The sequence below is a fragment of the Homo sapiens genome, chromosome 19, assembly GCF_000001405.40.
Source record: "Homo sapiens chromosome 19, GRCh38.p14 Primary Assembly".
NCBI lineage: Eukaryota > Metazoa > Chordata > Mammalia > Primates > Hominidae > Homo > Homo sapiens.
Window position 1 is genome coordinate 58,256,541 of NC_000019.10, and position 22,290 is coordinate 58,278,830.

At 47.1% G+C, this 22,290-nt stretch overlaps 1 protein-coding gene and 1 long non-coding RNA gene across 58 annotated transcripts in view; one reads left to right on the top strand and one right to left on the bottom strand.

Annotated features, from left to right (window-relative positions):
• Window positions 1-20,915, top strand: part of ZNF544 (zinc finger protein 544) — a 48,542-nt gene extending 27,627 nt beyond the window's left edge. For 21 of the 51 annotated variants that reach the window (NM_001387408.1, NM_001387392.1, NM_001387409.1 and 18 more), the window contains one exon: window positions 4,311-7,104. In NM_001387408.1, the coding sequence (NP_001374337.1) occupies window positions 4,311-4,329 (19 nt within the window). In that variant the 3' untranslated portion in view covers window positions 4,330-7,104. Of the gene's footprint in view, window positions 1-2,737; window positions 3,596-4,310; window positions 7,105-15,209; window positions 15,237-17,825; window positions 18,060-19,782; window positions 19,890-20,642 lie in introns of those variants that run through there. The other 30 variants (NM_001387407.1, NM_001320774.2, NM_001320787.2 and 27 more) reach the window with 7 other exon arrangements.
• Window positions 733-22,202, bottom strand: ZNF8-DT (ZNF8 divergent transcript). 7 transcript variants are annotated; one of them, NR_187494.1, is made up of 4 exons: window positions 21,983-22,202; window positions 10,328-10,485; window positions 6,796-6,893; window positions 733-3,151 (listed from the first exon to the last, which is right to left on the bottom strand). It is a non-coding gene; the product is annotated as a ZNF8 divergent transcript (long non-coding RNA). The 7 variants fall into 7 exon arrangements; NR_187492.1 differs by lacking the exon at window positions 10,328-10,485 and adding an exon at window positions 18,125-18,313 and having other exon boundaries at window positions 6,796-6,889; NR_187491.1 differs by lacking the exons at window positions 6,796-6,893; window positions 10,328-10,485 and adding an exon at window positions 3,249-3,365.
• Between the last annotated feature and the right edge of the window lie 88 nt (window positions 22,203-22,290).

Below are 22,290 nucleotides of genomic sequence, written 5' to 3' on the forward strand. Positions count from 1 at the left end.
ACTTAAACGGTTACAAGAAGAGCAACGGTACCACGTGCAAGGTTCTAAATCTTTCATTATAATTAGATATATAGGGTCTATGCCGGACACAAACTCAAGGTTTTCTGTTGTTATCTCTTTGAGAAAAATCCTGGGAACTTCATACATTGTTGGTGTTAGTGCCTTATCAGTTAATTGGGCTCTTTTGAAATGCTGAGGATCTGTTTACCCAGGCCAACTCCTTAGGAAAGGGGGTTGGGTAAGGAGCCCTTAGTGTCTTGTAAATTAAGGGGTCAATTGGAGTTTGTCCGGCCTTCCCAGCTAGAGAGAGTCTTATTTACATGAGAAGCAAGGCTAGGTGATTAAAGAGACAAGCAGGACAAAATTCAAAGTAACCAGTTAGAGTAAAAACAAGCTTAGGCATTTCAGTCTCACTCTGTTGCCCAAGCTGGAGTGCAGTGGCACGATCTCTGCTCACTGCAAGCTCCGCCTCCCAGGTTCACGCCATTCTCCTGCCTGAGCCTCCTGAGTAGGTGGGACTACAGGCACCCACCACCACGCCCGTCTAATTTTTTGTATTTTTATTAGAGACGGGTTTTCACCATGTTAGCCAGTATGGTCTCGATCTCCTGACCTCGTGATCCACCCGCCTCGGCCTCCCAAAGTGCTGGGATTACAGGCATGAGCCACCACGCCTGGCTGGTTCTTGGCATTTTTAACAAAGAATTGGACGAAACACACAAAGCAACAAAAGAAGCAACAAAAGCATAGCTGTATTGAAACAAAAATGCACTTCACAGAGTGGGAGCAGGCCCAAGCAAGGCTCAAAAGCACTGGTCGCAGAATTTTCTGGGGTTTAAATACCCTCTAGATGTTTCCCATTGGTCACTTGGTTTACACCCTATGAAATAGTGGCCCATGACCAGTCTGATTGGTTGTGGAAGGTGACCAAGCAGAGGCTGAAGTGAAGTTACAAAGTTACGCTCTATGCAGATGTCTGACTGGTTGCAGGAGGGGACCAATCCGAGGCACTTTCCATTTTTCATCTGCAACACAGAAAGTTGGGGGGAGTTGCAAAGGGAGTAGCCTCTGATCCTTTTGTTACGTGGGCATGGAAATTTAGGGTTTTCCTTTTGATTCCGTTCATGAAGTCAGCATGAATCAGCCTTAGGCTCCCTGCCCCCAGACCCTATTCTCCTGCCTCACTGGCAACCACTGATCTTTATCCTGTCTCCATAGTTTTGCCTTTTTCAGAATGTCATAGTTGGGGTCATTCACTACGTAGCCTTTTCCGACTGGCTGCTTTCACTAAGCAACATGCATCGTGTGTATCTTCATACCACCCTCTCACGTTTCCCCCAGGCTGGAGATGTTGAGTTTATCTGAATTTTTCTCGTGTCTTCCTGCTCCTCCTTCCTTGTAACTCTCTCGCCTGCAGCCTCTGTTATTTCTTCCTCTGAAGGTGCACCCAGGCTTACTTATCTACCCTCCTCCCTGGGCCATGCCCTGCACACCATACCTCAGTCATGTCATCCTGGATTCTGTTTACTGTCAGTCTTTCTGTTTGGCATAGGCATCCCTCTTGGCTGGCCTGTGAGGACAGCCCCTTTCCTCATTTCATGCTCCTAATGGAGAAGCCACTGCAAGATATTTAATGTCCTTCACCTGATTTTCCATGGCCACGCAAAACCTGGACACAACTCAGCCACCCACTGACTTCTTTCCTGCTTCTCATCCTCAAATACCCTTCATTGGGCTGTTGTTTCTTTTGAAAACATCCTCCCATGAGGGATTCCACAGTGATTCCCCAGAGGAACCACAGAGTTGGGATGAGGACAGTGCAAGTGTGAGAGTGCTGGGTGTGAGGGCACTGGGTGTGAGGGCACCAGGTGTGAGGGTGCTGGTTGCGAGGGCACCAGGTGTGAGGGTGCTGGGTGCGAGGGCACCAGGTGTGAGGGTGCTGGGTGCGAGGGCACCAGGTGTGAGGGTGCTGGGTGTGAGGGCACCAGGTGTGAGGGTGCTGGGTGTGAGGGCACCAGGTGTGAGGGTGCTGGGTGTGAGGGTGCTGGGTGTGAGGGCACCACGTGTGAGAGTGCTGGGTGTGAGGGCACCAGGTGTGAGGGTGCTGGGTGCATGCAAGGATCTTGCCCAGGAGGGAAGAGAGCTTTTGATTGAGAGGAGGGAAACATCCTCTCAGAAGTCAAGGGATGGCCACAGAGTGTAGTTAATGTGTTGCCAAAGGATCCTTGTGTCCTCATGAGCTCAGAGAGTGAGGCATGAGAACTTGAGGTAGGCCGCAGTAGTGTTGACCGTGGTGGCCATGCAAACATAATGAACAGAGTGACAAGCAGAGTGGAGGATCTTTAGGACCTGGACAAGGATCCTGAGCTGGGAGCCTCTGCCACTCATTTTTAGAGGCTCCGTATCTTCAACAGAGAGGAATCCCCACCAGGACAATAACAAGGATGGCAAGATCAACCATATTTTGTAATATCAGTGCCAGACACTGTGTGAGGCTCACATAGTGATTCATTGATGCCTCAAAATAAATCTTGTAGGCTAAACATTCTTACTCCGGGCTACAGCAAGGAAAATGAACCTCTAAGAGGCTAAGGACCTGTCTGAAGTGGCAAACGGTGGAGCCCAGATGCAGCCAGTCATGCTGATCATGCTGCTTCAGAGACCATGCAGTCTTTTCTGGAGAGTCTTCTATTGGGTCAATTCTGGAATGCTTAAATAAGTTTTTCTCTGTTTGCAGCCTGAAGAAATGGTAGAATTGGTGCATTAAGAATATGAAGTCAGTGTTGATGTCTGAGATGCAATTATGAGATCCAGAAGTGGAACAGAAACTGATATTCTAGGACTAAGCACCAGTTAGGAGTCTGTGTTTGCTTCCTGTGGCTGCTGTAAAAAATTTCCACCAACCTGTTGGCTTAAAACAATGCAAATTTATTCTCTAAAAGTTCTGGAGGCCACAAGTCCAAAATCAATGTCACTGGATCAAAATCAAGGTGTTGATATGGTTGTGCTCCCTCTGGATGCTCCAAATGGAAAACACATTTCTGTCTTTTCCTTCTCCTGTTGGTTGCAGCATTCTTTCCAGTCTTCAGATATCTTCTGCTGTGTCTTCTCATCACCTCCTCTGTGTTTCAAATCTCCCTCTGCCTTTCTCCTATAGGAACACTTGTGATTACATTTAGAGCCCCCCTGGATAGTACAGAAAAAAAATCCCCATTTAAAAATTTTTAGCAGGGTGTGGTAGCAGGCACCTGTAATCCCAGCTACTCAGGAGGCTGAGGCAGGAGGATCACTTGAACCTGGGAGGTGGAGTTGCAGTTAGCCAAGATAATGCCACTTCACTTCAGCCTGGGCAACAGAGCCAGGCTCTGTCTCAAAAATAAACAAAACAAAATAAAATAAAAATACTAATCACAGAAGGGTACATTGGCTTGGCTGTAATCCCAGCACTTTGGGAGGCCAGTCGGGGAGGATCACAAGAGCCCAGGAGTTTGAGGCTGCAGTGAGCCATGATTGTGCTGTTATCCGGTCTGTTCAACAGAGCAAGATCCTGACTGTAGAAAACTAAGTAAATAATAATAATAAAATTCTAATCACATCTGGACAGTTCCTTTTTCCCAAAAGTTCACATTCACAGAGTCCAGGGGCTTAGAACATACATACTTTTTGCAATGGTTAATGGCTTTATATCCTGCAGACCCAGTTCATTCTGTGGATTTCTCTTTTTATCTTCACCTCCCTGCTTATTCTCTTTTTTGAGACAGGGTCTCACTCTCTCACCCAGACTGGAATGCAGTGGCCCGATCTTGGTTCACTGCAACCTCCACCTCCCAGGCTCAAGCGATTCTCCTGCCTCGGCCTCCCGAGGAGCTTAGACTACAGGCGCCCACCACCACACCTGGCTAATTTTTTTTTTATTTTTATTAGAGATGAGGTTTTACCATGTTGACCAAGCTGGTCTCTAACTCCTGACCTCAGGTGATCCACCTGCCTCAGCCTCCCAAAGTTCTGGGATTACAGGTGTGAGCCACTGCACCTGGCCCCTCCCTGCTTATTCTTATTCTTCTGCCCTCTATTTGGGGACTAGTGTTACTTAGTCACTTCTTTATTATGTTTGCTTGTATTTTGCACTTTACCACTGATACCATGTTTGCTGATCCATCCCTCCCTTTCACAGCCTGCATACGGATTACAGTTTGTAGTTTGGAAACAAACCAGAGACACTTCCATTAAACAGTTGTCTCCTTCATCTCCCCCTCCCCCTCCCCCTCTGATGCTTCTCCAGTAACTTAGGCATTTTGGATTTCTTTCAGACTGGAAAGCTACCCTTGAGGAGAATAGGTTGAATTCTGAAAAAGATCGAGCTAGGGAAGAACTATCCCACCACGTGGAAGTGTACAGGAGTGGACCGGAGGAGCCACCCTCTTTGGTATTAGGAAAAGTGCAAGATCAGAGCAACCAGTTAAGGGAACACCAGGAGAACTCCTTGAGGTTCATGGTACTCACCTCAGAGAGACTGTTTGCTCAAAGGGAACATTGTGAGCTTGAACTTGGGGGAGGTTATTCTCTACCTTCTACTTTAAGCCTTCTACCTACAACATTACCTACAAGTACAGGTTTCCCTAAGCCCAACTCACAAGTTAAAGAGTTGAAACAAAATTCAGCTTTCATTAATCATGAGAAAAATGGAGCAGATGGGAAGCACTGTGAGAGTCATCAGTGTGCTAGAGCTTTCTGTCAGAGTATTTACTTGAGTAAACTTGGAAACGTTGAAACAGGAAAGAAAAACCCTTATGAATATATTGTCAGTGGTGACTCTCTCAACTATGGTTCCTCCCTTTGTTTTCATGGTAGAACTTTTTCAGTGAAGAAAAGTGATGACTGTAAGGATTATGGAAACCTCTTCAGTCACAGTGTGTCTCTGAATGAACAGAAGCCAGTGCATTTTGGGAAAAGTCAGTATGAGTGTGATGAGTGCAGGGAAACCTGTTCTGAGAGTCTGTGCCTTGTACAAACAGAAAGAAGTGGCCCTGGAGAGACCCCCTTCAGATGTGAGGAACGCTGTGCTGCCTTCCCCATGGCCTCATCTTTTTCTGACTGTAACATCATTCAGACTACAGAGAAGCCATCTGTGTGTAATCAGTGTGGAAAATCTTTCAGCTGTTGTAAGCTCATACACCAGAGAACACACACTGGAGAAAAGCCCTTCGAATGTACTCAGTGTGGGAAATCTTTTAGCCAGAGCTATGACCTTGTCATACATCAGAGGACACACACTGGAGAGAAGCCCTATGAGTGTGACCTGTGTGGGAAATCCTTCACCCAGAGATCCAAACTTATTACACATCAGCGAATTCACACTGGAGAAAAACCGTATCAGTGTATTGAATGCAGAAAATCCTTCAGGTGGAACTCTAACCTCATTGTACATCAGAGAATTCATACTGGAGAGAAACCGTATGAGTGCACTCACTGTGGAAAGTCCTTCAGCCAAAGCTATGAGTTAGTTACACATAAAAGAACGCACACTGGAGAAAAACCCTTCAAATGTACTCAGTGTGGGAAATCTTTCAGCCAGAAGTATGACCTTGTTGTACATCAGAGGACACACACTGGAGAGAAGCCCTATGAGTGCAACCTGTGTGGGAAATCCTTCTCCCAGAGTTCCAAACTTATTACGCATCAGCGAATTCACACTGGAGAAAAACCGTATCAGTGTATTGAATGTGGGAAATCCTTCAGATGGAACTCTAACCTCGTCATACATCAGAGAATTCATACTGGAGAGAAACCGTACGATTGCACTCACTGTGGAAAGTCCTTCAGCCAAAGCTATCAGTTAGTTGCACATAAAAGAACTCACACTGGAGAAAAGCCCTATGAATGTAACGAGTGTGGAAAAGCCTTCAATCGAAGCACTCAGCTCATCAGGCATCTGCAAATTCACACTGGGGAGAAGCCGTACAAATGCAATCAGTGCAATAAAGCCTTTGCAAGGAGCTCCTACCTTGTGATGCATCAGAGAACTCACACTGGTGAGAAACCTTTTGAGTGTAGTCAGTGTGGGAAAGCCTTTTCAGGGAGCTCTAACCTTCTTTCCCATCACAGAATTCATTCTGGAGAGAAACCCTATGAATGTAGTGACTGTGGGAAATCCTTCCGGCAGCAATCTCAACTTGTAGTGCATCGGCGGACACATACTGGAGAGAAACCTTAGGAGTGCAGTCATTGTGGGAAAGCTTTCATCCAGAGGTCTCCCCTCATCATGCACCAGAGGACGCATGTCGGTGGGAAGAGCTATCAGTGTGACGTGTATTAAGCCAGCGGTTGTGACTCATTGAACATCAGAGGACATATCCTGGAGAAAAGCCCTACGAATGCATTGATTGTGGGAAAGCCTTCAATGATCGCTCAACCCTTAGTAAACACGAGAGGACACACACTGGAGGCAAACCCTATGAATGTGACCATTGCGAGAAAGCCTTTAGCCAACGGTGTCAACTTACTAGGCAGCAGAGAATTCATACTGGAGAGAAGCCCTGTGAATGTTAACAAATGTGGAAAAGCTTCCAGTTATGATACTTTCCTTATTCAACATGAGAAAGCTCATGGGCAAGAAACTCTATGAATAACCAAGATGGAGCCGGGTGCAGTTGCCAACACTTGTAATCCCAGCAGTTTGCGAGGCCGAGGCAGGTGGATCACTTGAGCCCAGGAGTTTGAAACCAGCCTGGGTAACATGGCAAAATCCTGTCTTTACAAAAAATACAAAAATTAGCCTAGCATGGTGGCGCATACCTGTAGTCCTAGCTACTCAGGAGGCTGAGGTGGGAGGATCACTTGAGCTTGGGAGGCGGTGGTTGCAGTGAGCTGTGATCATGCCATCACACCGCTGCCTTGTGAGAGATTGAGACACTCTAAATAAATAATAACCAAGATGGGAAATTTCCCTGCCAGACCTTGTTTACTAGAAATCAGGTGGCCAAAACATGACTCTCAGAGTGGGGCTTCATGACCATGTGCATCAGAATTGCCTGGAGTGTGCACTGAAACTGTGTATTACCAAGCTCACTCTAGCCAACTAAATAAAAATCTCTGGCAGTAAAATCCAGGAGTCTGCAGTTTCTAAAATCACACAGGTGAGTGGGCATGGTGGCTCATGCCTGTAATCCCAGCACTTTGGAAGGCTGAGGTGGGTGGATCACCTGAAGTCAGAAGTTTGAGACCAGCCTGGCAAACATGGCAAAACTGTCTCTATTAAAAATACAGGCCAGGGGCCGGGCACGGTGCCTCACACCTGTAATCCCAGCACTTAGGTAGGCCAAGGTGGGTGGATCACGAGGTCAGGAGATTGAGACCATCCTGGCTAATATGGTGAAACCCTGTCTCTACTAAAAATACAAAAAAATTAGCTAGGCATGGTGGCGGGCTCCTGTAGTCCCAGCTACTCAGGAGGCTGAGGCAGGAGAATGGCGCGAACATGGGAGGCGTAGCTTGCAGTGAGCTGAGATCACACTACTGCACTCCAGCCTGGGCAACAGAGCAAGACTGTCTCAAAAAAAAAAAAAAATACAGGCCAGGCACAATGGCTCATGCCTGTAATCCCAGCATTTCGGGAGGCAAAGGCAGGCGGATCACCTGATGTCAGGAGTTCGAGACCCACCTCACCAACATGGAGAAACCCCGTCTCGACGAAATATACGAAAATTAGCCAGGTGTGGTGGTGGTAATCCCAGCTACTCGGGAGGCTGAGGCAGGAGAATCTTGACCTGGGAGGCAGAGGTTGCAGTGAACCAAGATCAAGCCATTGTGCTCCAGCCTGGGCAACAAGAGGGAAACTTCATCTCAAAAAAAAAAAAAAAAAAGGACTCTGGTGAGGCTTGGTGGCTCATGCCTGTAATCCCAGCACTTTGGGAGGCTGAGGTGGGTGGATCACTTGAGGACAGGCATTCAAGACCAGCCTGGCCAACATGGCAAAACCCCATTTCTACTAAAAATACAAAAATTAGCCGGGTGTGGTGGCACACATGTGTAATCCAGCTACTTGGGAGGCTGAGGCATGAGAATTGCTTGAACCTGGGAGGCAGAGGTTGCAGTTAGCTGAGATCATGCCACTGCACTCTAGCTTGGGCAACAGGGCAAGACTGTGTCTCAAAAAAACAAACAAACAAACAAAAAACCCTGAGCTGGCTGTAATGGCTCATGCCTGTAATCCCAGCACTTTGGGAGACCGAGCGGCCAGGCAGATCACTTGAGCCCAGTAGATTGAGACCAGTCTGGGCAACATGTTGAGACCCCATCTCTACAAAAAATAGAATTAGCTGGGCATGGAGCTGCACACCTGTAGTCCCAGCTACTCAGGAGGCTGAGGCAGGAGTATTACTTGAGCCTGGGGGTGGGGGGGATGGTCTCACCTGCAGTGAGCTGAGATCACACCACTGCACTCCAGCCTAGGCACCAGAGCAACACTGTGTCTCCAAAAACAACAAAATATTGGACTCTGAATATTTCAGGGATTCGGTTGTGCTTTAACTTTGTTGCTCAGTTGGTTTGATTGTAATCAGAACTGGCAGCATGTTAATATGGAAAATACTTATCAGGGGATGTGAAAACAGGAGCCCAAGTAGTATGTTCACAGAAGGTTACAAGCACATAATTTAAATTGGTCCACTCAGCAACATGTTTCCTAAAAGAAAAAAATGTAAATTGACAGTAGTGGGGAGACTAGAAGAGGCCATGTCTGCATATTTATTTATTTATTTATTTATTTATTTATTTAAGACAGTCTCACTCTGTTGCCCAGGCTGGAGTGCAGTGGTATGATCTCTGCTCACTGCAAGCTCCACCTCCTGGGTTCACGCCACTCTCCTGCCTCAACCTGCTGAGTAGCTGGGACTACAGGCACCCGTCACCACGTCTGTCTAATTTTTTGTACTTTTAGTAGAGACAAGGTTTCACCATGTTAGCCAGGATGGTCTTGATCTCCTGACCTCATGATCCGCCCACCTCGGCCTCCCAAAGTGCTGGGATTACAGGCATGAGCCGCCACACCCGGCCGCATTTATTTTTATTTTTTGACACAGGCTGTTGCTCTGTCACCCAGGCTGGAGTGCAGTGGCGCAGTCATGGCTCACTGCAGCCTCAGCCTGGATCAACTGATCCTCCTGTCCTTGCCTCCTAAGTAGCTGGGACCATAGGCATGTGACATGAAGCCTGGCTAAATTTATTTTTTTAGAGACGAGGTCTCACCATGTTGCCCAGGCTGGTCTTGAACTCCTGGGCCCAAGTGATCTCCAGCCTTGGCCTCCCAAAGTCCTGGGATTACAGGCATGAGCCATAGTGCATACTATTACTGCACATTTAAGCAGGATAAGAGCCAATGGGAGGGTGAGCATGGTGGCTTATGCCTGTAATCCCAGCACTTTGGAAGGCCGAGGCAGGCAGATCCCTTGAGGTTAGGAGTTCGAGACCAGCCTGGCCAACATGGTGAAATCCCATCTCTACTAAAAGTACAAAAAATTAGCCAGGTGTCATGGCATGTGCCTGTAATCCCAGCTACTCGGGAGGCTGAGGCAGGAAAATCACTTGAACCCAGAAGGTGGAGGTTGCAGTGAGCCGAGACTGCGCCGTTGAACTCCAGCCTGGGCAAAAAAGCGAAAAGCGAGACTCTGTCTCAAAAAAAAAAAAAAAAAAAAAAAGGGCTGTGTGCGGTGGCTCACGCCTGTGATCCCGACACTTTGGGAGGCCAAGGAGGGTGGATCACGAGGTCAGATCAAGACCATCCTGGCTAACACAGTGAAACCCCGTCTCTACTGAAAATACAAAAAATCAGCCAGGTGTGGTGGCAGGTGCCTGTAGTCCCAGCTACGAGGGAGGCTGAGGCAGGAGAATGGCATGAACCCAGGAGGCAGAGCTTGCAGTGAGCCAAAATCATGCCACTGCACTCCAGCCTGGGCGACAGAGTGAGACTCGGTCTCAAAAAAAAAAAAAAAAAAAAAAAAAGATGGAAGTATAGCCAATAGCGAAACATACAGAATGAGGAAGGCTGGAGAGGGTCAGGCGAGGAGAGGCTGTGGCAGCAGATGTGGCAGCCCCAGCAGAGCCATAGACTGATAGACCAGAAAGTGGGTTAATCGAAGGTCTGTCCATGAAACTCAGACTCTTCCCCATTTTTTTTTCTTGCCTGGCATTACCTATCTGGCTGTGGGTAGCAAAAATTAAAGTAGGGAAGGAGTCATGTGCTAAAAGATTAGTTCAGGGGACAAGGGAATCTGATGTATTTTGCTCTGCAGCAAGGGCTGCTTTATTCTGGCATTTCAGAACTTTTTACCTGATAGCTGGTTCTCGCCCTCTTCACCCTCGAGCAAAGCGTACTGTTAAAGCAGCCCCGCCTGTCTGTGGAGCTTCCTGTCTGCTTTCTGATAGTCTCTTCAATATGGGTGGGAGGCAAGGAGCAAAAGATAAAGTCTCCATCATGAGAGAAGGTATCTAAGACAGCAGAAAAGACAGATATTCAGAGGAACCAAATATTCTTTGTTTTTTGAGACGGAGTCTCATTCTGTTGCTCAGGCTGTAGTGCAGTGGCACGATCTCGGCTCACTGCAACCTTTGCCTCCCAGGTTCAAGCAATTCTCCTGCCGCAATGTCCCAAGTAGCTGGGATTACAGGCACGTGCCACCATGCCAAGCTATTTTTTGTATTTTCAGTAGACACGGGGTTTCACCATGTTGACCAGGCTGGTCTCAAACTCCTGACCTCAAGTAATCCACCCACCTTGGCCTCCCAAAGTGCTGGGATTACAGGTGTGAGCCACCGCACCCAGCAGAATCAAATATTTAAAGCATTTTGTTAACGTAAAAGTGAGTCAAGAAAGGGTTACAAGGCCGGGTGTGGTGGCTCATGCCTGTAATCCCAGTACTTTGGGAGGCCGAGGCGGTCGGATCGTGGGGTCAGGAGGTCGAGACCAGCCTGATCAACATGGTGAAACCCCATATCTACTAAAAATACAATACAAACATTAGCTGAGTGTGGTGGTGGGCGCCTGTAATCCCAGCTACTTGGGAGGCTGAGGCAGAGGTTGCAGTGAGCCGAGATCATGCCATTGCACTCCAGCCTGGGTGACAGAGCGAGACTCCATCTAAAAAAAAAAAAAAAAAAAAAAAAGGTCTGGTGCGGTGGCTCACGCCTGTAATCCCAGCACTTCGGGAGGCCGAGGCAAGCGTATCACGAGGTCAGGAGATCGAGATCATCCTGGCTAACAGGTGAAACCCCGTCCCTACTAAAAATACAAAAAATTAGCTGGGCATGGTGGCGGGCACCTGTAGTCCCAGCTACTCGGGAGGCTGAGGCAGGAGAATGGCGTGAACTCAGGAGAAGGAGCTTGCAGTGAGCCGAGATCACGCCACTGCACTCCATCCTGAGCAACAGAGCGAGACTGCGTTTCAAAAAAAAAAAGAGGGTTACCAGTAAAAAATAAGACAGACTGGGCGTAGTGGCTCACGCCTATAATCCCAACACTTTGGGAGGCCGAGGCGGGCGGATCACCTGAGGTTGGGAGTTTGAGATCAGCCTGACCAACATGGAGAAACCCTGTTTCTACTAAAAATACAAAATTAGCCGGGCATGGTGGTGCATGCCTGTAATCCCAGCTACTCAGGAGTCTGAGGCAGGAGAATCGCTTGAACCTGGGAGGTGGAGATTGCAGTGAGCCGAGGTCTAGTGCCATTACACTCCAGCCTGGGCAACAAGAGTGAAACTCCGTCTCAGAAAAAATAAATAAAAATAAAAAATAAGATACTTTGATAAAATAGAACAATGAGAACCAGAACAGGCTCTTTGAAATTACAAGTAAGATTGTTCAATGTTATAGATACAATGTTTAGTGAGAAACAGAATGCTTGTTGCCTGGTGCTGCAAAGAAATAGCACTCAAAACATAAATTTAATTCTCTCAGCAAGGCCGTTTTTACTTTCTGCAGAAAGGGTGCTCATCACAGATGGAACAATGGCAAGAGCACACCTGAACAAAGGAGGGAAGCAATTTTTATTCCTTAGGCAGTTTGTCCCTGCTACTGTGTCCTGTCTCCGTTGGCTGGAGCCAGCCTGCACAATCTAAACTAAAACTAGATTAGCTAACAGTTTAAAACTTTTCTAAATAGGTAAAAGTAGTGGAAAGACGAAGGAAAAGAGGAAGTTGCTTATGCCAGATATGGAAGGAGCATAGGCTGTAAGCTGGAACGTGACCATGAGCATGTCCAGCACAAATAACTTGGTTAAGGTACAGGGACATAGAACGTACTACGTGCCTGTGAGCATGTTTACCAGCTACATAGGATAGGGCCTAACAAAGACTTACTAGCACAAAGCAAGGAGGTTTCAAGGAAGTTAGTTTATAAAAGAAACTATTATTTTTTAACACTTATGATTTATTCTTTAACAAGAAGGGAAACTTTGAAGAGGAACTTTTACTTTCCACATTGAACAAATAAGTAAGAAAAAGAAAGGGAAACTTCCCCAGGGCTGAAAGGAAATTTTCAGGTCATGCCATTATTATCAGAATTAATAAGACCCATGCATCGTGGAAAACTGAGAACACCACGACTAAAAACAGATGGCAGGCTGGGCGTGGTGGCTCACGCCTGTAATCCCAGCTCTTTGGGAGGCTGAGGCAGGCAGATCACCTGAAGTCAAGAGTTTGAGACCAGCCTGGCCGACATTGTGAAACCTCATCTCTAATAAAAATTCAAAAATTAGCCAGGCATGGTGGCAGCCGCCTATAATCCCAGCTATTCAGGAGGCTGAGGCAGGAGAATCGCTTGAACTCGAGAGGTAGAGGTTGCAGTGAGCTAAGATTGTGCCACTGCACTCCAGCCTTGGGCGACAAAGCGAGACTCTGTCTCAAAAAAAAACAAACAAAAAAAATGTCAGGGTCGGGCATGGTGGCTCACACCTGTAATCCCAGCTACTTGGGAGGCTGAGGTAGGAGAATTGCTTGAACCCAGGAGGTGGAGGTTGCAGTGAGCTAAGATTGTGCCACTGCACTCCAGCGTGGGCGACAAAGCGAGACTCTGTCTCAAAAAAAAAAAAAAAAAAAAAGATGGCAGGGCTGGCATGGTGGCTCACGCCTGTAATCCCAGCACTTTGGGAGACCGAGGCAGGTGGATCACTCTAGGTTAGGAGTTTGAGACCAGCCTGGCCAAGATGGTGAAACCCTGTCTCTACTAAAGATACAAAAATTAGCCAAGTGTGGTGATAAATGCCTGCAATCCCAGCTACTCAGGAGGCTGACGCAGGAGTATCACTTGAACCTGGGAGGCAGAGGTTGCAATGAGTCTAGATCATGCCACTGGACTCCAGCCTGGGCGACAGAATGAGACTCTGTCTCAAAACAGAGCAAATGGCATGGCAGAACCTTCTCTAGAGAAAATAGTTTTGAATCTAAGAAAGGAATAGCTTTAATCTAGAAAAGGAATAGGGCAAGAAAAGGAATGTTTATTCACCCATAACTTAAAAAAAAAGGTAATTTTAATTGAAGGCTTCAAGGTAAATTGTGCTCAAACTATACAAATTCTGCTAGATGGTTATAGTTCCTATGTGAAGGTAACTTTAGAAAGTAGTGTTCACTTGACACTGATGTGAGTAATTCTTGCTGGAGGGGGCAAAAAGCTCATGAAATTTGAATAAAGGAGGAGGAGATGCAGTCAGATTGTTGATTGACCCTTCAGGGAATGGCATTTGCATAGCTGTGACGTGAACCCTAGGTATTGGCTTTTTTTTTCTTTTTTTTTGAGAAGGAGTCTCTGTTGCCCAGTCTGGAGTGCAGTGGCGCGATCTTGGCTCACTGTAACCTCCGCCTCCCGGGTTCAAGCAATTCTCCTGCCTCAGCCTCCTGAGTAGCTGGGATTACAGGCACGTGCCACCACGCCCAGCTAATTTTTGTATTTTTAGTAGACACAGGGTTTCACCATGTTGGTCAGGATGGTCTCCAACTCCTCACCTTGTGATCCGCCCACCTTGGCATCCCAAAGTGCTGGGATTACAGGGATGAGCCATTGCACCCGGCCTGTATTGGCTTTTAATTTTTAGGAAGTAACACATGGCTGTGACCTGACAACTTCATAGTGGCCGTAGGGTAGGGCACTGTTGTCATTATTCCTGTCACTGACAATGTCAGCCCCACCTGCAGATGTGGGAGAGTAGATGGGGAAAGTAGTAGTGGAGAGTAGAGGTTTCCCTTACCATCCTTTTAGGAAGTAGGCTTTTAAACATGATATGTAAGTTTATTTAGAAGATGAAAATTAAAGCTTGAAATGTAATATGAGAGGAATTGGCAGCGGATGTGAGTCAGATCCTCACCTGTCAGAGCAGGAAGTTAGTGAAAACTAAAGATGATTGGCTGGATGCGGTGGCTTATGCCTGTAATCCCAGCACTTTGGGAGGCTGAGGTGGGTGGATCACCTGAGGTCAGGAGTTTGAGACCAGCCTGGCCAACATGGTGAAACTCTGTCTCTACTAAAAATACAAAGATTAGCCCAGCGTGGTGGTGGGCACCTGTAATCCCAGCTACTCAGGAGGCTGAGGCAGGAGAATCGTTTGAACCCAGGAAGTGGAGGTTGCAGTGAGCTGAGATTGCATCACTGTGCTCCAGCCTGGGCAACAGAGTCAGACTCCGTCTCCAGGAAAAAAAAAAAAAAAAAGACTAAAGATGATCAAAGATTAGAATTACGGAGGTGTCCTCAAGAAGAATTGGAACAGATATGGTTAAAAGTGGCTGGAGGTGGGTGCAGTGGATATGGTGGTGCACACCTGTAATCCCAGTGCTTTGGGAGGCTGAGGCAGGTGGATCACTTGAGCCTAAGAGTTGGAGACCAGCCTGGGCAACATGGCGAGACCTGGTCTCTACAAAAAATACAAAAATTAGCCGGGCATAGTAGCACATACCTGAAGTCCCAGCTACTCAGGAAGCTGAGTTGGGAGGATTCTTTGACCCCAGGAGGTTGAGGCTGCAGTTAGCTGTTATTATATCACTGCACTCCAGCCTATGTGACAGTGTGAGACCCTATCTCAAAAAAAAAGTGATGTCGGGAGGCTGAGAGGATGAGTGACTGGGGCAGGAGATGAGTACTTTCCCTTTTAAGCCCATAGCATTTAATTCCCTGGTGGTTCACTTCTTATTTGGATAACTAACAAATTATTTCAAATGTGTGCCTATAGGTGAGAGAAGCAATGGTACATGAGGAGGTAAGCATTTGATTTGTGGGATTATGAACAACTGTCCTACTCTCCTTTTGATTCGGTGTCTCTGTATTAGTGATCTGACAATTTAAAAAATCAAGCAAGAGCAGGCTGGGCGCAGTGGCTCATGCCTGTAATCCCAGCACTTTGGGAGGCCGAGGCGGGCGGATCACTTGAGGTCAGGAGTTGAAGACCAGCCTGGCCGACATGGTGAAACCCTGTCCCCACTAAAAATGCAAAAATTATCTGGGCGTGGTGGTGGGTGCCTGTAATGCCAGCTACTTGGGAGGCTGAGCAGGAGAATCGCTGGAACCCGGGAGTTGGAGATTGCAATGAGCCGAGATTGCCCCACTACACTCTAGCCTGGGCAACAGAGTGAGACTCCTTGACAGGAAAAAAAAAAAAAAAAAGCATAAAGAAAAGATGTCAGACTTGTCTGTTTGGCCAGTTTGAGTTTATTTCAGCAGGCAGGGCAGGAAGGTTCCTTGGCTTCCTAGAATCCCCTGGAGTTGGATGGGTGTGGTGGCTTACACCTGTAATCCTAACAGACCAAGGCCCAGGTGGAAGGATCAACTGAGGCCGTGAGTTTGAGATTAGACTGGGCAACATGGCAGGACTCTGTCTCTGCAAGAAATAAAAAACCAGGTGTGGTGGCACGCGCCTGTTGTTCCAGCTACTCAGGAGGCTGAGGTGTGAGATCACTTGAGCCTGAGAAGTTGAGGCTGCAGTGAGCTGAGATTGCACCACTGCATTCCAGCCTGGGCAACAGAGTGAGACCCTGTTTCTTTAAAAATAAAAATAAAAATAATCCCTTGGATTTAAAGGGAGTGGGTTAGTCCTTGAAGATTTGATTTTCCAGAATTCTTATCAAGAAGAAGTTGAGGCGGGAGAATCATGAGGTCAGGAGTTCAAGACCAGCCTGGCCAACATGGTGAAACCCCGTCTCTACTAAAAGACGTGGTGGTGCGTGCCTGTAAATCCAGCTACTCAGGAGGCTGAGGCAGGAGAATTGCTTGAACCGGGACCTGGGAGGCGGAGGTTGCAGTGAGCTGAGATCGTGCCACTGCACTCCAGCCTGGGCTACAGAGCGAGTCTCCTTCTCAAAAAAAAAAAGAAAAGAAAAGAAAAAAAGGCCGGGCGCGGTGGCTCATGCCTGTAATCCCAGCACTTTGGGAGGCCGAGTTGGGCAGATTGCAAGTTCAGGAAATCGAGACCATCCTGGCTAACATGGTGAAACCCATCTCTACTAAAATTACAAAAATTAGCCGGGTGTGGTGGCGCATGCCTGTAATCCCAGCTACTTGGGAGGCTGAGGCAGGAGAATCGCTTGAACCCAGGAGGCGGAGGTTGCAGTAAGCCAAGATCGCACCATTGTACTCCAGCCTGGGCAACAAGAGCGAAACTCTGTCTCAAAAAAAAAAAGAAGAAAGAAACCAAAAAAGTAGAAAATCATATTATCATATACTTTAATAGCACAACAAAATTACAAATTAATAATTGTGGGTATTTTAGAATATATATGAAACAGCTATTTGGTCAAAGAGGAAATAAAAATACTACATCTGTTTAAGTAAAAATAAGTACTCTGTATCAAATGATCAACATGAATACAAAATACCAAAGCTTGCCTAAAGCCTAGGCCGGGAACGATGGCTCACGCCTGTAATCCCAGCACTTTGGGAGGCCAAGGTGGGCGGATCACCAGGTCAGGAGATAGAGACCCGCCTGGCCAACAGGCCGAAACCCTGTCTCTACTAAAAATACAAAAAATTAGCCGGGCGTGGTGGCGGGTGTCTGTAATCCCAGCTATTTGGGAGGATGAGGCAGGAGAATCGCTTGAACCCGGGAGGTGGAGATTGCAGTGGGCCGAGATCGTGTCACTGCACTCCAGCCTGGGCGACAGAGTGAGACTCTGTCTCAAAAAAAAAAAAAAAAGCCTATTCTGTAGACAAGTGTGTCTCACGTTTTTTGTCTCAAGACCCCTTCACACTCTTAAAAGTCACTGAAGACCCTAAACAGTTTTTGTTTTGTTTTGTTTTCCCCCAAGACAGAGTCTTGCTCTGCCGCCAGGCTGGAGTGCAGTGGCGTGGCCTCAGCTCACTGCAACCTCTGCCTCCCGGGTTCAAGTGATTCTCCTGCCTCAGCCTCCCGAGTAGCTGGGATTACAGGCGCATGCCACCACACCCGGCTAATTTTTGTATTTTTAGTAGAGACGGGGTTTCCCCATGTTGGCCAGGATGGTCTCGAACTCTTGATCTCATGGTCTGCCCACCTCCGCCTCCCAAAGTGCTGGGATTACAAGTGTGAGCCACCGTGCCCGGCTCCTAAACAGTTTTTGTTTATGTAGGTCCTATCAATATTTGGTGTATTAGGAATTAAAACGGAAAAAAATTAATATATTTTATTAATATAATTTTTCAAAATCTATTCTATGTTAATATATAGGTTGAGCTGTGTCTCTTCCCAAAATTGATATGTTGAAGTTCTAACCCATAGTACCTCAGACCTTATTTGGAGACAGTGTCTTTAAAGAGCTGAAATGAGGTCATTAGAGTGAGCCCTGGTCCATTATGACTGTTGTCCTTATAAAAACAGAAATTTGGAGACAGACAACTTGTCACGCATACAGGGAAAATGACATTTGAAGACAAAGTCAGACATCTACAAGCCAAGGAATGCCAGAGATTGCCAGCAAACCACCAAAAACTAAGGAAAGGGATGGAACATATACTTTCTTGTAGCCCTCAGAAGGAACCAACTATGCCAACACTTTGATCTCAGACTTCTGGCTTCCACAACTGTAACAATAAATTTATGTCGTTTAAGCCACCCCATTTGTGGTATGTTGTTACCAGAGCCCTCATGACTAATACAACATATTTTTTAAAAAGCACCTACTTTACGAAAAACAGCATTTTCCAAAACAGAAATAGGGAGAAGAGTGGCATTGTATTATATTTTTTCAAATCTCCTTAATGTCTGGCTTCACTTAAGGCAGTTGAGTTCCCATAGCTCCATGTTCCCATTGCATCTGTTACAATATGACTCATCCAGCAGCCTCTGGAAAACTCTATTGTATATTCCTATGAAAATGAGAGAGGAATAGCACTGGGTAGTCCAGGAGAATGGAAAAACCCAAACGACAACTAAAACAAGCAGTAGGCAAAGAAACCACAGAATAACAAAACCCAAAATAAGGGAGAGAAGACAGCCAAAACCCTGGTCAGGGTGACAGGTCCATGACTCTTCCAGGCAAACCCAAATAAGGGAGAAAGGGGGTGGTAACTGGGGTGGGGCAGGGGGAGGGTGGTGCCTGAAATCCCCTCCTTTTCCAGATACCGAATGACTATTCCACCCATAATTAAACACCCATAAAATGAGAAATGCAAACAATGTTGGGTGTGACTCAGGAGCCAGGAGCCCCCCCACACTTGTCTCCCGTGTTTCCTTTCACTTTGCAATGAAAGCTTCTTGCCTTTCTGCTTACTCTGACTTATCCCTGAATTCTTTCCTGTGATGGCTTCAAGAACCTGGACACCAACTGGCACTGGCATCCGGTGACCTTCCTGAGCCCTCTGGCAACAAAAGAAAAAGCCAACATCTCATTATTATTATGAATTTAGTTTTGAACCCACCGATCCCTTGAAAGGATCTCAGGAACGCCCAGGGCTCCCTGACCCACACTTTAAGAACTACTGCAATAGACAAACTCCTACCTTATAATCAAGGAGATAAACAAGAACTAGAAAAGAAAAAAAAAATAGGCTGGGCACCGTTTTTGTAATTCCAGCACTTTGGGAGGCCAAGGCGGATGGACTGCTTGAAATCAGGAGCTCAAGACCATCCTAGGCAACATCACAAAACCCTGTCTCTACAAAAAATACAAAAATTAGCCAGGCATGGTAGCATGAGGCTGAGGTGGGAGAATCCCTTGAGCCCAAGAGGTTGAAGCTGCAGTGAGCTGTGATCACACCACTGCTCTCCAGAGTGGGCAACAGGTGAGACCCTGTCTCAAAAAAAAAAAAAAAAAAAGGAAAGAGGAAATAATAGGACATCAAAATCACAGATTCCACACCATTAGAACTAGGAGGAAAGCTGAGCCCAGTGACTGGCTCCAAAATGAATACACAGGGCCGGGTGCAGTGGCGCATTCCTGTAATCCCAGCACTTTCAGAGGCTGAGGCAGATAAGATTGCTTTGAGCTCTGGAGTTCAAGACCAGCCTGGGCAACATGGCAAAATCCAGTCTCTACAAAAATTGGCCCAGTGTGGTGGCTCTCACCTGTGCTCCCAGCTACTCAGGAGGCTAAGGATGCAGGATCACTTGAGCCTGGGAAGTGGAGGTTACAATGAGCCAAGATTGCAGCACTGCATTCCAGCTTGGACAACAGAGTGAGACCCTGTCTCAAAAAACAAATAAACAACAAAAAAAGAACACACAGGTTTCCCCTAAAGAGAATAGATCTTTGCACACCTGCCCCTACCTCTCCAACACTGGTGGCCACTGTGCAGGGGAAGGCAATAGATCCTCCTAGTACCTTCTCTGCCTACAGAGAAGGGGATGCTGCCTGGGAGCTTTTTGGGACTCCCAATAGAAGACAGATTTAGTCTCCTGGAAGGCTGCCTGATCCAGTTCCCACAGCAGCTGCCACTTGCTCAGGTGAGTGAAGACATCTGTCAAAAGTCAGAATTTTATTTTTATTTTATTTTATTTTTGAGATGGAGTCTCACTCTGTCGCCCAGGCTGGAGTGCAGTGGCGCAATCTCAGCTAATCGCAACCTCCGCCTCCCAGTTTCAAGCGATTCTCCTGCCTCAGCCTCCTGAGTATCTGGGATTACAGGTGCCCGCCACCACACCTGGCTAATTTTTGTATTTGTATTAGAGACAAGGTTTCACCATGTTGGCCAGGGTGGTCTCAAACTCCTGACCTCAGGTGATCCACCCACCTCAGCCTCCCAAAGTGCTGGGATTCACTCACAGGCGTGAGCCACCACACCCAGCCAAAAGACAGAATTTTAACAAATTTGGTTAAAGATCGAATTGGCTTTTATTTGTGATTCATGAATCTGGGCAGCCTCCACTCTGCAAAACGGAATGAGAGCTCCCACGGGGCAAATGGTAGAATAGTGGTTTTTGTAAGATAGAGAAAAGGCTAATTAGTTAACACTAGGTTACTTTTCTTGTAAGGATTAAAGCAGAGGGGACTTCCTTATTATGCTGCTCAGGTAGACTGGAAATCTGGTTTGTTTAGGGATCTACCTGCTTAAAGTATCAGTCTGATTATGTGGCATTTAGCCTAAGTGACTCTGTCTTGGTTTGGTCTGGTCTCATGAGGCCTAGAGCAGGAGCTCAGTCCAAAACCATGTCCTCTCATAATTTTGTGTAACTTGCCTAACACCTGCTCCTTCTCAGGAACGAGGCCCAGCAAAAAGCAGAGACGGTACAGGGCCAGAAGGATCTGAGAGAGTGTGGCCAGCTTGAGCCCTCAGGAGTCGGCCAGAAGGATCTGAGAGAGTGTGGCCAGCTTGAGCCCCTCGGGAGTCAGCTCCTCCGTCCCCACTGGTAACGTCTTCACCCCTTCAACACGGTGTGAAGGGCCATGTCATGGTTGATCTTCAGTCCCTCAGACTACACCATCAGCCCCATGGGGGTGAGCAAATAACAAGTAACTATACTGTTCCCTGCTATGTGTCTGGCTCTTGGTAAAATTTAAAAAAGTTAAAAATTGTTGTGGTTTGAATGCAACATTTTTGAATGGAAATCTGCTTCCCCATTTTTCTTTTTTAATAACTTTTTATTTTTTTTTTGAGACGGAGTCTTGCTCTGTCACCCAGGCTGGAGTGCAGTGGCCTGACCTCGGCTCACGGCAACCTCCGCCTCCCAGGTTCAAGCGATTCTCCTGCCTCAGCCTCCCGAGAAGCTGGGACTACAGGTGCCCGCCACCACGCCGGGCTAATTTTTGTATTTTTAGTAGAGACGGGGTTTCACCATATTGGCCAGGTTGGTCTCGAGCTCCTGACATCGTGATCCACCCGCCTCGACTTCCCAAAGTGCTGGGATTATAGGCGTTAGCCACCGCGCCCGACCTTTAATAAACATTTTAATGGACTACAACAGACCCACAGAAAAAGACACATCACAAAGTGAACACCCACAGGGAGAAGCAATAGGGCTGTCAGAGGCATTCGACCCAGAGCGACTCCATTTTGAGTGAGGGCTAGGAAAATGAGGCTGGGCTGCATTCCCAGAAAAGTAGGTATTCCTAACCTCTAGATGTTTACGGTTAAGGGAACAAATTAATAATGGGTACTAAAACAGACCCAGACTTGGGAGTGTCCAGATATCCCGGTATCTAGAGAACAAAGGCATTCCTAATTTTGCTTTAAAAATAATATCGATTCTTGAAAAATACAGTAAGAAAATTAATCCTTTTTCACAAACCCTTGTAGCAGAGCACATCTCCCCAAAATCTATTTTTAGCCCAAATATACACAAGCATTGTACCTAGGGTGCATACGTTCCTCTTACTTTCAGGAACGTCCTACTGTCTATGGGGTAGCTGTTTCACAACTTTACTTTCTCAACAAACTTGCTTTTACTTTGCACTGCGGACTCGCCCTGAATTTTTTCTTGCGCGAGATCCAAGAACCCTCCCTTGGGGTCTGAATCGGACCCCTTTCCTGTAACACAACCACCGCTCCCAGCCTCCCCGCTTCCAGCCGCTAAGCCCAAAGTCTTTTATATGAACAAACCTCTAACTCGTCCTGTGACTTTGATGCGTGTGCGTTTTAGGCACCGGGGAGCAGAGGGTAAAGCGGCGCAGCTCCGGGCCTCCTCCCGCGCAAGTTCCCGAGAAGAGCAGGTCCGGCCCGCGCAGACGTGCACGGTCCCCAGCCATTAGGAGGAGCAGACGGTCCCCACCCCCACAATCAGTCATCTCTCGGGGTCCGCCCTTGCTTCCTGCCCACGAGTGAGGCCTCTGGTTGCCCGCAACCTAAGGGGCATCGCAGCCCCGAGCAACACCGCCCCCACCAGCCTTAGCTGAGTGCTCCCATTGGCC